Source organism: Homo sapiens, chromosome 1, assembly GCF_000001405.40.
Source record: "Homo sapiens chromosome 1, GRCh38.p14 Primary Assembly".
Classification (NCBI taxonomy): domain Eukaryota; kingdom Metazoa; phylum Chordata; class Mammalia; order Primates; family Hominidae; genus Homo; species Homo sapiens.
The window spans coordinates 238,668,047-238,686,229 of NC_000001.11; positions in this window are offsets into that span (position 1 = coordinate 238,668,047).

Below are 18,183 nucleotides of genomic sequence, written 5' to 3' on the forward strand. Positions count from 1 at the left end.
GCACCCACCACCACATCCAACTAATTTTTTGTTTTTTCAGTACAGACAGGGTTTCACTATGTTGGCCAGGCTGGTCTCGAACCCCTGACCTTGTGATCCACCCTCCTCAGCCTCTCAAAGTGCTGGGATTACAGGCGTGAGCCACCGTGCCTGGCCTCAGCTAGTGTTTTGATAAAGATTTTTTTAAACATGAGAGGCCAAAAAAAATGATAAAAATAGATCAATAAATGGAGATAGAGAAAAAATTTTTGAAAATAAAATAAAAACCGCTCTAGTCCTTGCAAATTGGCTCTGTGCTAGACCACTCCTTCAACCTTTAGCCAATCTATTTACAACTTTGCCTTTAGCTTTAAATTCGTGCTTTTAATGTGCCCAAGATCAGCCATTGTTTAAAAGCTCTGTTTTCTGGTGTGTCCTGCTTTTGATATGCATGTGATTTCTAAATTCCCCAGTATACACAGTAAAGACAAACAAAGACAAATTACCATATATTCAGAATTTTATAAAATATGCAGCATATTTAATAATGCAATTATAGAATATTTAAATTAATTTTAAGCACCGAAACAAAATCTGTTTTTATTATTTAAAACATGTTCATATAAGCTGTTGTATTTATAGTTTTTCTAGTAATATTGTTCAATTAGTAAAATTAAATCAAGATATATATGTATGTATATATATACACATATGCTTTTATGTATACACACAAAAACATACATATATTTATGTACATGGATATGTATATACACCTACACATAAAGAACACTGTTAATTAGCTACTTAAATTATTGAAAACATATGTACTACTATACCTGAGAGTTATCATTATTCCTTAGTTTTATTTATCTTAGTAATATTGTTATCCTAGTAAAATTAAATCAAGCTATATATGTATGTATATTTATCTTATGAGTACTTTTATATCTCAAATAAACTTTCTTTCTAGGTTTTCCAGCCAAGCTTTGGTGCTCTATTCTTGGCCTCACTGCAATATTTTGCCCCAGATAGCTGTAAGTTGGTTGTCTTAGTGTGTTTTTGGAAAATGTCCACCTCTTTTCTGAAGTTTGAGGGTTAGGAGTTAGCCCAAAAAGAGACAAGCTCTTTGTGTCACCCATTCAAGTAATGCCAGAGTAAAACAAACACAATTCATTACACATAAGGCCTGCTCTGGTATCTCCAGAACAAGGAGGAGCATCCCATACTGGGAACACAGGCTTTTGTCTTCAAGGTCACCACAGAGCCAGGGAGGGGGTTGGGGCAAGGGAAAGTAAAAAGGTCACAAAGCCTTACTAACCTTTTAAGTTGCCTTGGTATTCATTCTCTAAAATCATAGGTGAGGTAAGCTGATAATGTTTTATTTACTTAATTAAAAAATGTATCCGGGCGTGGTGGCTCACGCCTGTAATCCCAGCACTTTGGGAGGCCGAGGCGGGAGGATCACGAGGTCAGGAGATCAAGACCATCCTGGCTAACAAGGCGAAACTCCTTCTCTACTAAAAATACAAAAAATTAGCCGGGCGTGGTGGCGGGCGCCTGTAGTCCCAGCTACTCGGGAGGCTGAGGCGGGAGAATGGCGTGAACCCAGGAGGTGGAGCTTGCAGTGAGCCGAGATCATGCCACTGCACTCCAGCCTGGGCAACAGAGCAAGACTCCGTCTCAAAAAAAAAAAGAAAATTTTAGAAGGAGAACAATGCATTTGAAAATGATCTATTACTATCCTTGAGAAAATTATATCTTCATTTTTAAAGAGAACATAATTCTTAAGAACATCATATATTCAGAATTTTATAAAATATGCAGCATATTTAATAATGCAATTATAGAATATTTAAATTAATTTTAAGCACTGAAACAAATAAAATCTGTTTTTATTATTTAAAACATGTTCATATAAACCGATGTATTTATAGTTTTTCTAGTAATATTCAACTAGTAAAATTAAATCAAGATATATATGTATGTGTATATATATACATATGCTTGTATATCTACACATAAAAGCATATATATATTTATGTACATGTATATGTATATACCTCTACACATAAAGAACACTGTTAATCAACTACTTAAATTATGGAAAACATATATAATACTATACCTGAGGGTTATCAATAATTATTCCTTAGTTTTATTTGTCAAATGTTTTTAGCATTCTCTCATTCTCAGACAGAAGAATTCACTCATTCTCAGACAGGAGAATTCACTCGTTCTCAGACAGGAGAATGGATTCATTTATTTTAAATGAATTTTTAAAAATATTTTTTCAGAAAATATGTAAAGCCCTGGGACACATAAAATGAAAATGAAACCTAATTCTCATTCTAAAATTATGATATATTGTGGATCTATTGCTGCAGATTTATATACCTTTCAGTACTAGCTTGTTATTTAATTTTGAACTGTATGAGTTTTATGCAATCAGCACCTCTAAAACATCTTCATATCCTATTAGTCAAATAGATTTTTCTGTCTTGAGAAAGATTATTGGTTGTATGGATACTTGCTATCTCTCAATGGAAATCAAGCACTGAAGCTGAATGCAGTAGTTGACAGTAAAATGTTAGCGTATGCCTCACTCTTCCTTCCTTAAACATTTTTCTGGGAAAAAAGTAGATAAAAACACACTGAGCCTTTTAAATGCAATATCTCTTTTAACCTTAGAGCAAGTATTTGAGATATCCTTTTTTTTTTTTTTTTTTTTTTTACAAGCAAGGCATTTATAAGGGAATTGTCATAGCATTCTAAATATAGAAGGAAAATGTGAACTGAAATGTTTAGTAATCTATGACATTTTATGTATTTTTTGTAGTTATTATAAATGAAATTGCTTTCTCAATTTCTTTTTCAGCTAGTTTTGTTATTGTTATAGAAACACTACTGATGTTTGTAGGTTGATTTTGTATCCAAGAACTTTATTGAAGTTTTTAATAGTTCAAAGAGGATTTTGGTGGAATTTTTAGGTTTTTCTATATATAAGATCATATTGTCTGCAAAGAGGTACAAAGTGACTTCCTCTTTTTCAATTTGAATGCCGTTTATTTCTTTCTCCTGCCTAATTGCTCTGGTTAGGACTTCCAATATTATGTTGAATAAGAGTGGTGAAAGTGGGAATCCTTGTTCTAATTCTTGGAGAAAAGGCTTTCAGATTTTTCCTGTTCATATAATATTAGTTGTGGGTTTGTCATATATGGCTTTATTATTTAGAGGTATGTTCCTTCTATCCCACATGATCCGGCAATCCCATAACTGGATATGTATCCAAAAGAAAGCAAATCAGTATATTGGAGAGATATCTTCACCTCCATGTCTATTGCAGCACTATTCACAATAGCTAAGATATGATATCAGTGTGTCTATCAACAGATAAATGAATAAAGAAATTATTATATATGCATAAGATTAGGTTGGAGCACAACTAATTGCAGTTTTTGTCATTTAAATTAATGGTAAAAACCTCAATTACTTTTGCACCACCCTAAAAAATACTATTCAGCTATAAAAAAGGGATGAAATCCTGTCATTTTGACAGTATGGATGAACTTGGAGAAAACATTATGGTAACTGAAGTAAGCCAGACACGGAGAGGCAAATACCATACGATTTCACTCATATTTGGGAGCTTAATCAATTTCTACTCTTATAGAAGTAGAGAATGTAATTATGGTTATTACAGGTTGGAAAGGGTTGTGGGGAGGGGACAACAGGCAGAGGTTGTGGATATAAAATTACAGCTAGATAGGAGAAATGAGGTCTAGCGTTCTACAGCACTGTAGAGTCAACACAGTCAATAAAAATTCATTGTATATGTTCAAAAATTAAAAGACAAATTTCAGTGTTCCAAATACAAAAAAAAAATCAATGTTTGAGCTGATCGATATACTAATTACCCTGATTTGGTCATTATATATTGTACAAATGTGTTGAAGTATCACTGTATCCCATAAATATGTACAGTTATTACAGTCAACTAAAAATAAAAGGAAAATATAAATTATGACATAAGGAAAGCCTCTATTTGTTTTGCAGGTATTTCTGTGAAGACATGAGAAAGAAGATTGTGCAGGCTTTTTTGAGTTCTTTACACTTGATTAGGTGTGGCAGAAGGTGGCTCTTGTTACTTCATACACATTTTAAGTTTCTAGTAATCTATGATTATGAATAGAGTTATCAGTAACAACTCTTCCCAGGCAGGTATAAGCCAATAACAGAACATTATGATAAACTATGCCTCGGGTTAGATTAACTCTCTTGCATTGCATAGAAAGTTCCCGGGATGCCAAATCACTAAGGGCCAACTGCCAACGTCTGATTAAAATCTGGAGAAGTTGGCACTGGCTGTCTGGGCAGAGACTGAGGGGAGATTTTGCTTTTCACTGTGCTGAGATAAGTGGGGCCCTGGCAAGGGAGTGAGATAGATTAGCATTTAGAGCTCAAATATTCATTCCTGTCAGTCTGATTGTTAGCAGGGATTACTTGAGAAGATAGCAGAGAAAACTCCAACAGGGAAAAGGATTAGAGGGTTTACTGCAGCTAGACTCCCGCCACCTTTACCTAATACATTTGCCATAAGAAGTCCTAGTCAATTTCCTTGGAATTCCATGTCTATTGTTTGTAAGTATTTTAAAATTTTCTATGTAAAGCTCATTTTATTCAATTCTAAGGAATTATAATTTTTAACCATATTTTACTAATTTTTCAGTTTCAGATAACTATGAGTAAATGGTTCACAGCATTTGTAAGAGGTGCAAGAAAGAATTTAAGATTTTAATGTATTACGGATTTTTCAAGGGCAGTGTTTTTTTAATTGAAAAAGTAATAAAATTCTCAAAACTTCAGTTTGTGAAATGACATAAACTGATGCTTAAATGCCATCTAATTCAGTCTCTAACTTCCTGGATAAATTCCTCAAAATTATTTCAAACATGTGATGATTCATATTTTACCTAAACACATTCAGAGATAGAAATAGGGGGCTTAAATTGGGTCATTCATTCCATATTCAGAAAGCTCTATTTATCTTAAAGTTCTATTGTATTGAGTCAAAATTTATGTCCCTATGATTCGTATTCATTAATGTTAGTTCTCTCCTCTGGAATTACAAAGAATAAAAAAAGAAATTTACTTCTACTTTATATTTCTGTGAAAGTCGAAACAATTGTCATACCTGAACTCATCTCTCTTCTAGGCTAACAGAATTACTAATTTCTTTATCATTTATATACCATGGTTTATTGTTTTCTCAAGATTTCAGCCACTTAAAAAAATTTCATCCACTAGTAACACATTAAACCCATATCTGAACATGATATAGCAAATGTGCTCTGGCTAGTACACACTTTTCAAAATTCTAAAGTCTGTAATTTCCCTCCTTATCGTTTAGGCAGTATTCAAGTCATTAGAAATTTTTCCAGGCAAGATAATCAAAAGCGGAAACACGTAATACCTGGTTCTAGATCACTCTTTTCCTATTTGACCCCGGTCTGCTGTTATCCTAAGTGACTTCAGTGTTCTTTGGATTCATCTAACATCATAACCTAGTATTTCTCAATATCTTTTCCATAATAAACTTTTCTCAGAACCACCAGTTACCCTTGTTGAAATGCAGAATCTCTAGGGCTAGGTGATTTAAATGCATGTTAAAACTAACCTTCGGGTTGACATATGCTCACCAGAGTTTCACAGCAACTTTTCTAGTTTTTCAGTTCCTTTAAAACTTCCTTTCTCTGGTACCCTTTATTTTCATTCATTTCAATCAAACAGTCTAGTGGCTACCCTCATTCTTGTTTTCACTCGCAGTTGCTTCCCTTTTGTGATGAGCTGAATTGCATTCCCCCAAATTCCTGTGTTGAAGCCCTGACTCCCAATGCCTCAGAAGACGACTGTATTTGGAGGTAGAGCTTTTAAGGAGTCAAGTTAAAATGAGGCCAGTAGGCTGGGCCGTGCTCCAATCTGACTGGTTTTTTTCGTTTGTTTGTTTTTGTTTTTTAATAAGAGGGGATTAGAACACACAGAGAGACACCAGGGTATGCATGCAGGGAAGGACACCATTTGAAGAGACAGCCAGAAGGTGGCCTTCTATGGTCAAGGTCGGAGGCCTCAGAGGAAACCAACTCCACCAGCACCCTAGTTTTGGACTTCCAGCCTCCAGAGCTGTGAGAAAATAAATTTCTGTTGTTTAAACCACCCAGCCTGTGGCATTTTAGTAGGGCAGCACTAGCAAATAATACACTATTTAAAATTCTTAAAATTTGACTCTAATATTTTATTCTTATCCATTTATTCTTATCACACCTACATTTACAGAAATTCTCATACCTCATTATTCTCCTAAGAGGTTGGCTTCATCTCTCCCCCCATCAAAAATGCTGTAGAGGTGACTCAACATTGGGATTTATTACTGGCAGGTTAGGTGCTCCATGGTGACAGGAGCACGATTAACAATGATGAGGGGAAAACCCATGTTGTTGATTACATATATAATCTTCAACCCAGCTACCATGATCATTTTGTCATGAGCCCATTGAGCAATCACTATATTGACTTGGGAAAAAGTTAACATTCACAGCTAGTCACACTGCCTACCTGATTACTTCCTTCAGTTTGGTGTCATAGAACTGAGGTCTGGCAAATGGAATTTAGGTGAAGGTGCTACATATGACATTCAAGTGGATGTGGCCATGAAATATTCCCATAGATTGGGATGAAAATATTTCCAGACCCTGTCATTCCTCTAGAGCTGCGTATTCCTCCTCCCCACTTCTCCCTGTCACCAGCCTTCTTATCTTGTCTTCCCAGGAAGAAAACCACTCAGCCAACACATTAAACACTGCCTATTAATTGTTGTATTTCTTCAAGTCAGACCATCTCCCTTTACAGTCAAGGTGAAAAAACAATTCCACCGCATAAAATCCTGCAAACAGTGGATTTATTTGTTCCACTGTAACTTCTGGGCATCTTGAGAAGGGTTGTGTTGTATCAGTCCAAAATCTAGTGATGTTTACTGTAGACTCAACTATAAACCAGAGTCCACTGTATTTTTTTCCTTATTTAGCAGGCCAGAAGGGCCTCATCATGAGGCTTTAAATGTATCTCTAAGGGGAGATGAGCATGCAATTTTAATTACACTTTTAGCTCTATTTGAACTTTATCTTATTTATTTTGCTTGTCAACCTAATTAACAAACAGAAAGAGGCTAAGAGAAAAAGATATTTATTTAGCAATAGAGCATTGCAATGGCAATATGCATGCTGTAGTAAACTGTATCTGTATTCAAGGAAGTAAAGGAAGACAAAGATTTTTAAAGGAAATATGAGAAGGACTACATAATGGCTTTGAGATAATTATCCGTGACTACAAGGATTAATGACAGGAGTGGTGCCAGTCAGTGGTTGCCCAGGCAGTTCCTAGGCAGAGGTCCTCAGAGAAGTATTTTTTGTGTAAGGTTGCAATGACCTTTGTGCAAGGTTGTGGTTTTTGTAGAGTCCTTTATGACAGCTTTTATTCTAAGTCATTTATGCATGAGAGTCCTTCATGGCCTTTCTCAGCACTATTTTTCAGAGTTTCTTCTTGTTTTTAACACAAGTGATTCCATTTCTTTCAGACAACTTTCACATATTAAACCTAAGGATGGATTATTACTTTATATCCACATATGTATGGCTTGATAATTCAGATTTGTCTTGATTGACAGCTTAGGATGCTGATCACAAGTCATCTCATAATCAGACATTGTATTTTTTATATCCAGAATCTCAAAAGGTCCATCAAGCATTGCTTATTTTTCTGGAATGTGAGGGGCAAAATACAGTAAGCCGTTAAAGCTATTTGGGAGAGATCTCTGTTTCAAATCAATAAATGCCCTAAAGGTAACTGATGAGGTAGACCCCTCTATCTTTTTAATCTCCCACCAGCTGGTAAGCAAGTTGCCTTTGAAGGCATTGTGCACACTTGCTAACTCCCTTTGACCAGACTGCGTTGGCATGTCATCAAAGTGGTGGCTGAACATAATGTTCTGTAGGATATCAAAATAGTAATCATTCTTACAGAGTAGATCATGACAAGCAACTGAAGCTTTGGCATAGCCTTGAGGGGATAAGGAGAAGAAGTACTGCTGTCCCTAACACGTAAAAATCAAGCAGCGTATGATGATCTTGGCTAATAACTACAGCAAAAAGAAAGAAAAAAAATCAAATCAATATCTGTATACCTGATGTTGAGGGCTATATTTATTTACTTCACTAAAGAGATTTCATTTGAAGCAGAAGCTGCAATTAGAGTTACTACCTGAATAAGTTTATGATAACCTGCTATTTTTCTCCAAAATCCATGTTACTGCATATACTAAGTAAATGAATAAAAGAGCTAAGTGGAATGTGATTGGAACTCCTATCATGTTGGTGAGAAGGAGTGATAGAGAATGATAGAACAGGGCCTTCCAACTCGTTTTTTCCCAAATTAATAGTCCCTCGTCCACTAGTCAGGAAGCTATTGGAAAGATTGTTCTTTTTTTTTCTTTTTCTTTGTCTTTTTTAGTATTTCTGAGATCAGATGAGATCGGGCTCGTTCAGGGTGGTATGGCTGTAGACCTTTTTTAGTATTTCTATTCAAACTTCTAAACTATAAATTAGTGACCTGTGTGGAAATAAATGAAGCTTGAGACTTTCAATCCACTATTCCCACTGTAAAAAAGTCCTAGAACAAAATTTCTTTTGCCATTTCTGATTAGTGGACGACAGCGAAGCTTTCTATCCTCAGGGATTTACAACACCTCCATGTCAGTACCCAGTAAATCTCCAAAATTGAGAGTTATAGTGATATCTTTTCACTGGTCTTTTAAAGGACGGCTAGGGGGAGTATTGTTTATTTACTTATAGAATGTTTCACATTTCTGCCTTATAAGTATGAAACCCTACTTTCATTAATGCACTCTAAATCTGTAAACTGGCTCTGATAGGGAAATGGAATGAAAATGTATAAATCTCAAATGCAGTCTTAATTAAAGAGATTGGAATCATTTTTATTTATACGGGTTAAGTAAAACTTTAGGATGTTGCCCAAACCTGGAGTGCTCAGAAAATAATGATTAATCATCAGCCACCAAAAGTCTCTGAGGATCACACCATTATGATTTCTGGACAACTTTGCACCCCATGATAGAAAACACATAAACTTTGACTCTCGCAGTTAAGAGCTGCAACTTATATCTGCTACTTCCAAAACCCATCATCCTCATTGAAATTAGGAGGCAAACTTCATGGGGATATCTCTTACTTTCATTCTTGGCTTACAGAGTAGAGCCTCCAGATGTCTAAATAGGAAAGCATTTTAAGAAAGTGTTGGTTCCTCTCTAATTTATCTCTCAATAATGAGAGAAGTTTAGAACTGTATGAATACACTGTCACTTCATTCACTCAGTTTTGGATTCCACGTTCCATTTTGTCAATGTTCATATACTTTGCAACCAGATCCTGTGAATCATCTTATAGCCTGAAAAAAGAAGTATTTGAAAACCATCAGACAGTATCTCAAACAAGTTAAATGAACCTCTATATTTTATTATTATGACATTTTAAGTTAGTTTTGTCACTAATGGTTAGTTGAGATCCCAAGGGGACTAGACCATTTCACCTCTGTATTAACCAGTCCTTGCATGCAGGCTTCACTGGAAAGAAGGATCGCAACCATGGGTAAGACAGTCTCCTTCAGCTAAGGGAAAACCCTGGGCAGTGACTAATCTGTGAGCCAACAACGGGCAACAATCCCTGCATCTGGAGAAAGGAGGGCTTTGGCTGATACACCATAGTATTCACTACCACGTGTTATCTCTTACATGTGTATGAGCAAAACAATAGTGTTTACTTTTGCTTTATTTTAACTTTATATAAAACTTACATATCTATGTAAAGCATTCCGATACTTTCATGCATTATCACCATTCTCAGATTTAACTATATTTTAAAATACAATTTTAGTTATTACATTTCCATTGCTATGGAATACTTGATTATATGAATATACAATATTCTGTCCGTTTGGTTATATTTTTCTATTATGAGAACAGTTCTCATGTGTTTTAGTTAGTCAGAGCACATCCATATAACTTGTAGCACTTTTCAAGAGTCTGCATAGGATATAAATCTAGAAAGGTAATGTGCAATTGCTGGGTCTTTGATGATTTCCATTTTCAGTGGATATTGGTTTTGAGCTATCATATGGTGCATTATCAGTTGCTAATTGCGAGTGAGAAGTTTTCACTTTTACCATTCCTGTATTTCTGTACTTCAAAGGAAATATAATAGTGTGTGCAAAATTTGGGGAAATCATTTCACAAGAATAACAGAAAAATATAATACATTACTTCACAATTTCAAGCCAACATGAGCTGTTTTAATGTGGAAAGTCTTATTTGAAATAACATTTAATTGACAAGATAAACTGTTAGCAGAAGTAAGGAGAGGGCCACAAAATAATTTATTCAAAACAGGCTAAAATTTATAAGATTAAAGGACATTATGTGAATCACGGTCTGATGTGATCGCCTTCATGTACATTTCTTCTTGATCTCATTGTTTTTTTTGGTTCCTCTTGTCACTATGTTTCCTGCCCTTCTTGTCTAACCAGTTCTTAATTAAGTCATTGAAATGAACAAGGTCAAAAACAAAGTTCTTTATTTGATACCCTCATGTTGATATTAATCTATCCTTTAATATTCTAAAGAAATTCATAAGAACACAATCTTTCTGTTAAGTTAAATGTTTTGTCAAAAAGACCACATTTTGGGTTTTTTTTCCAATGAGAAATTTAACAAATGCTTAGCCAGGCTCAGCATTTAATGTATTAAATACAGAACCATGAATTCAAAATCAAATATCTGACAATTGAATATGTTCTGGAATACATTCTGGATCCTAGTAATCTCCACTTAGCTAGATGCACAAAATATTCTTCTAATAGTGCCCTATATTTCTTGTTGATTGCTATACTAATTTTCAGTTTGAAGAAACCTTAATTTTAAAATTCTGGGCATCTGTCAATTTGTCTCCTAACACCTCTTACTTTCAGATTTTTACATAGATGTCAACAGTCATTTATCATGCTCATCTGAAATATTGTTTTATACTAAAGAATACAAATTATTGTGGAAAGATTATTTTAAATGGTTATAGCAATTATATATATTTAACTCATCTCCTATTTTGGTCCTTCGCTTTGGTCCTATGGTGAAAGAGGTATTTTTAGTGACAGTGCAAGATCTCAATCTCTGAGATATTTTATTAGGTGAAAAAACAAGAAATATAAAATATAGGATGAGATATATACATTTATAGACACATAAATACACATAGAAAATTTTAACAGTATCTTAACAACTGCCTTTTAGAAGGGTTAGGGATCAATTAAAATAAGATGAGAAAGTGTTTAAGCCTTTAAAGTCTGCCTGAGAGGATGAGATGTTTATAATTGAGTGTTAACTGCCATAAATCATCTTTAGCATTATATCTAAATGTAATCTAGTATTTGAATAATTTTAAAGTGCTCAAACAGCAGGTGAATAAATTGGGAATAGGACTATAAATAGCGAGGTACTCACAGTTCTGTGGAAAAATAGGACAGAACAAAACAGACTCATTTGAGTAAAGTTTATAATCAAGAGGACTGAATAAACTTTTAAAATGAGTGATTCATTTTCTCTACTTTCTGATGAACAGTTTGGAAACTTTTGTTTTGCAGTAAATTATAGAATAGAATGCAATTGTGATAGCTGCCTGAGTGTTAAAGAAAGAAAGAAAGTCTCTGGAAATAACCAGAGTTTTAGAATACATGCATATTATATTAAGAAATTAATTAAATACATATATTTACTATTAAGATCATTACAGTTGGATTAATTATTAATGAAGATAATAGAAAATATCCTTTTAGTAGCTTCCATGAGTATCTTTTCAAAATTTCATTATTTCTTCAGCATTTCATATAAAATTTGTGCCTTTTTAATATATATTTCATGGTAAAATATAACCTTATTATACAATTATTTTAAGTATGCCAATACCGTCCAATTTTTTAGCTCATTTGTATGTCCAATTTTATTAAATTTAAATGTTTCTAGGTCAAAAATGAAAATAATGTAGCTATAAACAGTAGTCATGACTATACTCAGTTCTATTTGCCATTAAGAGTATCCTTAAGTCACTAAATATCATCCAATGTTTTAGGCAAGTCATGTTTTCTAAATTATTTTATTTTATCATCACAAATGTACTCACAAGGAAACCTCAGATTTTTAACATTATTAAAATAGTCTTGTTTTAAATAATACTTGAATTGTCATTTTTTTACAGCTCAAGTATTATTTAAAACAAGAGTTACATTAATAAGGATACATAATTATTTCATACTTGAAATAATTCTGCAATAACAAATAGAAACCTGTATAAATACATTAAAAGTAAAAATGTAATTGAGATTCAGGAGAATGTTGAGACCTAATCCAAGAAAGTAAGCGTCACAATAAAACAATGCAGGAGCTGACAAACAAATAAGCCAGTATAGAAAAGTACATAATTGGCCAGGTGCGGTGGCTCACGCCTGTAATCCCAGCACTTTGGGAGGCCGAGGCGGGCAGATCATGAGGTCAGGAGATCGAGACCATCCTGGCTAACACAGTGAAACCCCGTCTCTACTAAAAAAAATACAAAAAAATTAGCTGGGCGTGGTGGCGGGTGCCTGTAGTCCCAGCTACTCCGGAGGCTGAGGCAGGAGAATGGCATGAACCTGGGAGGCAGAGCTTGCAGTGAGCGGAGATAGTGCCACTGCCCTCCAGCCTTGGAGAGAGGGAGACTCCGTCCCCCGCAACAAAATAAATAAATAAATAAATAAAATAAAATAGAAAAGTACATAATCAACCTGGTAGAGCTAAAAAACACACTACAAGAATTTGATAATGCAATTGCAAGTATTAAGAGCAGAATGGACCAAGCCGATGAAAGAAACTCAGAGGTTGAAGACTGGCTTTCTGCAATATGAGAGAAACAGTCAGACAAAAATAAAGAAAAAAGAATAAAAAGGAATGAACAAAACCTTTGAGGAATATGGGATTACGTAAAGAGAACAAATCTATGAATCACTCATGACCCTGAAAAAGATGGGAGGAAATGAAGCAACTTGGAAAACATATTTCAGGATATCATTCATGCGGACTTCCCCAACCTAGCTAGAGAGGCCGTAATTCAAATTCAGGAAATGCAGAGAACACCCTCAAGATACTTAACAAGAAGATGACCCCTAAGACACCTAATCATCAGATTCTCCAAGGTTGAAATGAAAGAAAAAATGTTAAAGGCAGCTAGAGAAAAAGGATAGATCGCCTACAAAAGAAAGCCCATCAGACTAACAGTGGGCCTCTCAGAAGAAGCCCTACAAGCCAGAAGAGATAGGGGGCCTATATTCAACACTCTTAAAGAAAATAAATTCCAACAAAGAATTTTACATCTGGCCAACTAAGTTTCATAAGCAAAGGAGAAATAAGATTCATTTCAGAGAAGGAAATGCCAAGGGAATTCGTGACCACCAGACCTGCCTTACAAGAGCTCCAGAAGGAAGCATTTAATACGGAAAGACCATTACCAGTCATTACAAAAACACGCTTAAGTACACATACCAGTGTCGCTATAAAGCAACCACACAAGTAAGACAGCATAATAACCAGCTAGCAATATGATGACAAGATCAAATCCACACATATCAATACTAACCTTGAATGTAAAAAAGCTAAATGCCCCAATTAAAAGGCACAGAGTACGGCCAGGCACAGTGGCTCATGCCTGTAATCTCAGCACTTTGGGAGGCCATAGGCTCAAAATAAAGGGATTGAGAAAAATTTACCAAGCAAATGGAATACAGAAAAAAAACAAGAGGTTGCAACCTTAATTTCAGGTGAAACAAACTTTATAAAACAAAAATGAGAAGATAGAAAGGCATTACAAAATAGTAAAGGGTTCAAGAAGACCAACCTATCTTAAATCTACATGCACTGAACCTGGGTACACTCAGATTCAGAAAGCAAGTTCTTAGAGATAGATACACAAAGAGAGTTAGATTCACACACCATAATAGTGAAAGACTTCAACACCCCACTTACAGTATTAGATCATCAAGGCAGAAAATTACAAAGAGATTTGTAATTTTAAAAATTACCAAGAGTTGAGTTGAACTCAACACGTTGCCAAATGGATCTGAGCGACATCTACAGAAATTTCTACTCCAAAACAACAGAATATACCTTCTTTTCATTGCCACATGGTACATACTCTAAAATTAACCGTGCAATTGGACATAAGACAATCTTCAGCAAACCCCCCAAAACCGAAATAATACCAGCCACCCTCTTGGACCACAGTGCAATAAAAATAGAAATCAAGGCCAAATAAATTGCTCCAAACCATAAAATTACATGGAAATTAAGCAACCTGCTCCCAAACTGCTCTTGAGTAAATAACGAAATTAAGGCAGAAGTAAAAAAGTTCTTTAAAACTGATGCAAAGAAGGATACAACATAACAGAATCTCTAGGACACAGCTAAGACAGTGTTAAGAGGGAAATTTATAGCACTCAACACCAACATCAAAAAGTTAGCAAGATCTCAAATTTATAACCTAACATCACAACTAGGAGGACTAGAGAAACAACAACAAACCAACCCCAAAGCTGACAGAGGACAAGAAATAAGCAAAATCAGAGCTGAACTTAAGGATACAGAGACATGAAAAGCCATACAAAAGATTAAAAAATACAAGAATTGTTTTTTGAAAAAAATTAATAAAACTGACTGCTAGCTAGGCTAATAAAGAAGAAAAGAGAGACGATCCAAGTAAACACAACTCGAGTTGATAAAGGGGATATTATAACTGATGCCAAAGAAATACAAATAACTATCAGAGACTACTATGAACACCTCTGTCCACTGCACACGAACTAGAAAAACCTAGGAGAAATGGATAAACTCCTGTACATTCATATACAGCCTCCCAAAACTGAAGCAGGAAGAAATTGAATCCCTGAACAGACAATAGCAAGCTCTGAAATTGAATCAGTACAAAGAGCCTTACCAACTGAAAAACGCCCAGGACCAGAGAGATTCACAACTGAATTCTACCAGATGTACAAAGAAGAGCTGGTACCATTCTTACTGAAGCTATTCCAAAAAAACTGAAGAGTAGAGACTCATCTCAAACTTATTCTGTAAGGCCAGCATCATCCAGACACCAAAACCTGGCAGAGACACACACACACACACACACACAAATGAAAACTTCAGGCCAGTATCCTTAATGAACATTGATGCAAAAATCCTCACCAACATACTAGCAAACTGAAGCCAGCAGAACATCAAAAAACAAATCCACCATGATTATGTAGGTTTTATCCCTAGGATAAAAGGTTGGTTAAGCATACACAAATCAATAAATGTGATTCGTCACATAAACAGAACTAAATACAAAAACCACATGATTATCTCAAATAGATGCAGAAAAGGCTTTTGATAAAATTCAATATCCCTTTGTGTCCGAAATTGGTGGGTTCTTGGTCTCACTGACTTCAAGAATGAAGCCGCGGACCCTCGCGGTGAGCGTTACAGCTCTTAATTAAGGTGGTGTGTCTGGAGTGTGTTCCTTCTGATGTTCGGATGTGTACGGAGTTTCTTCCTTCTGGTAGGTTCGTGGTCTCACTGGCTCAGGAGTGAAGCTGCAGACCTTCGCGGTGAGTGTTACAACTCTTAGGGCAGCGCGTCTGGAGTTGTTCGTTCCTCCCGGTGGGCTCGTGTTCTCGCTGGCTTCAGGAGTGAAGCTGCAGACCTTCGCGGTGAGTGTTACAGCTCATAAAAGCAGCGTGGACCCAAAGCAGTAGCAAGATTTATTGCAAAGAGCAAAAGAACGAAGCTTCCACAGTGTGGAAGGGGACCCTAGTGGGTTGCCACTGCTGGCTTGGGCAGCCAGCTTTTATTCTCTTATCTGGCCCCACTCACATCCTGCTGATTGGTAGAGCCCAGTGGCCTGTTTTGACAGGGCACTGATTGGTGCGTTTACAATCCCTGAGCTAGATACAAAGGTTCTCCATGTCCCCATTAGATTAGTTAGATACAGAGTGTGGACACACAGGTTCTCCAAGGCCCCACCACAGCAGCTAGATACAGAGTGTCGATTGGTGCACTCACAAACCCTGACCTAGACACAGGGTGCTGATTGGTGTGTTTACAAACCTTGAGCTAGATACAGAGTGCGATTGGTGTATTTACAATCCCTGAGCTAGACATAAAGGTTCTCCAAGGCCCTACCAGAGCAGCTAGATACAGTGTCAATTGGTGAACTCACAAACCCTGAGCTGGACACAGGGTGCTGATTGGTGTGTTTACAAACCTTGAGCTAGATACAGAGTGCCGATTGGTGTATTTACAATCCCTGAGCTGGAGATAAAGACTCTCCACCTCCCCACCAGACTCAGCAGCCCAGCTGTCTTCACCCAGTGGATCCCCCACAGGGGCTGCAGGTGGAGCTGCCTGCCAGTCCTGCGCCATGCGCTCACACTCCTTAGCCCTTGGGTGGTCGATGGGACTGGGCGCATGGAGCAGGGGGCGGTGCTCGTCGGGGAGGTTCGGGCTGCACAGGAGCCCACAGAGGCGGGGGAAGGCTCAGGCATGGCGGGCTACAGTCCTGAGGCCTGCCCCGCGGGAAGGCAGCTAAGGCCTGGCGAGAAATCGAGCGCAGCACCGGTGGGCTGGCACTGCTGGGGGACCCAGTACACCCTCCGCAGCTGCTGGTCCGGGTGCTAAGTCCGTTATTGCCCGGGGCCGGCAGGGCCCGCCGGCTGCTCCGAGTGCGGGGCCCGCCAAGCCCATGCCCACCTGGAACTCCAGCTGGCCCGCAAGTGCCGCACGCAGCCCCGGTTCCCGCTCGCGCCTCTCCCTCCACACCTCCCCGCAAGCTGAGGGAGCCGGCTCCGGCCTTGGCCAGCCCAGAAAGGGGCTCCCACAGTGCAGCGGTGGGCTGAAGGGCTCCTCAAGTGCCGCCAAAGTAGGAGCCCAGGCAGAGGAGTCCCCGAGAGCGAGCCAGGGCTGTGAGGACTGCCAGCATGCTGTCACCTCTCACCTTCATGTTAAAAACCCTGAATAAACTAGGTATTGAAGTAGCATTACCCAAAATAATAACAGCCATCCATGACAAAACCACAGCCAACATTATACCAAATGGGTAAAATCTGGAAGCATTCCCGTTGAAAACCAGAACAATACAAGGATACCCTCTCTCACCACTCTTACCCAACATATTATTGGAAGTCCTGGCCAGAGCAATCAGGCAATAATAATAATAATAAAAAATAGAAAACATCTAAATAGGAAGAGAGGAGGTCAAACTCTCCCTGTTTGTAGATGACATGATTCTGTATCTAGAAAACCCCATAATCTCTGCCCAAAAGCTCCTTGATCTATAAGCAACTTCAGAAAAGTTCCAGGATACAAAATCAGTGTACAAAAATCATTAGCATTCCTATACACTAACAACACTCATGCTGAGAGTCAAATCCCATTCAAAATTGCCACAAATAGAATAAAATACCTGGAAATACAGCCAACCAAGAAGAGCAAAGAGCTCTACAATGAGAATTACAAAACACTGCTCAAAGAAATCAGAGATGAAACAACCAAATAGAAGAACATTTTATGCTTCTGGATAGAAAGAATCAATATGACTAAAATGACCACACTCCACAAACCAATTTACAGATTCAATGCTATTCTTATCAAACTACCAATGACATGTTTCATAGAACTAGAAAAAAAATCTATGCTAAAATTCATATGGTACCATATAAGCACCCAAATATCCAAGACAATCATAAGCAAAAAGAAAAAAAGCTGGAGGAACCACATTGCCCAACTTCAAACTGTGCTGCAAGGCTACGGTATCCAAAACAGCATGGTACTGGTACAAAAACAGACACATAGAGCAATGGAACAGGGTAGAGAGTCCAGAAATAGAGCCTCAGACCTACAACCATCTGATCTTTGACAAACCTGACAAAAACAAGCAATGGGAAAAAGACTGCCTGTTCAATAAATGCAGTGGGATAACTGTCTAGCTATATGCAGAAGATTCAAACTGGAGCCTTTCCTTTCACCAT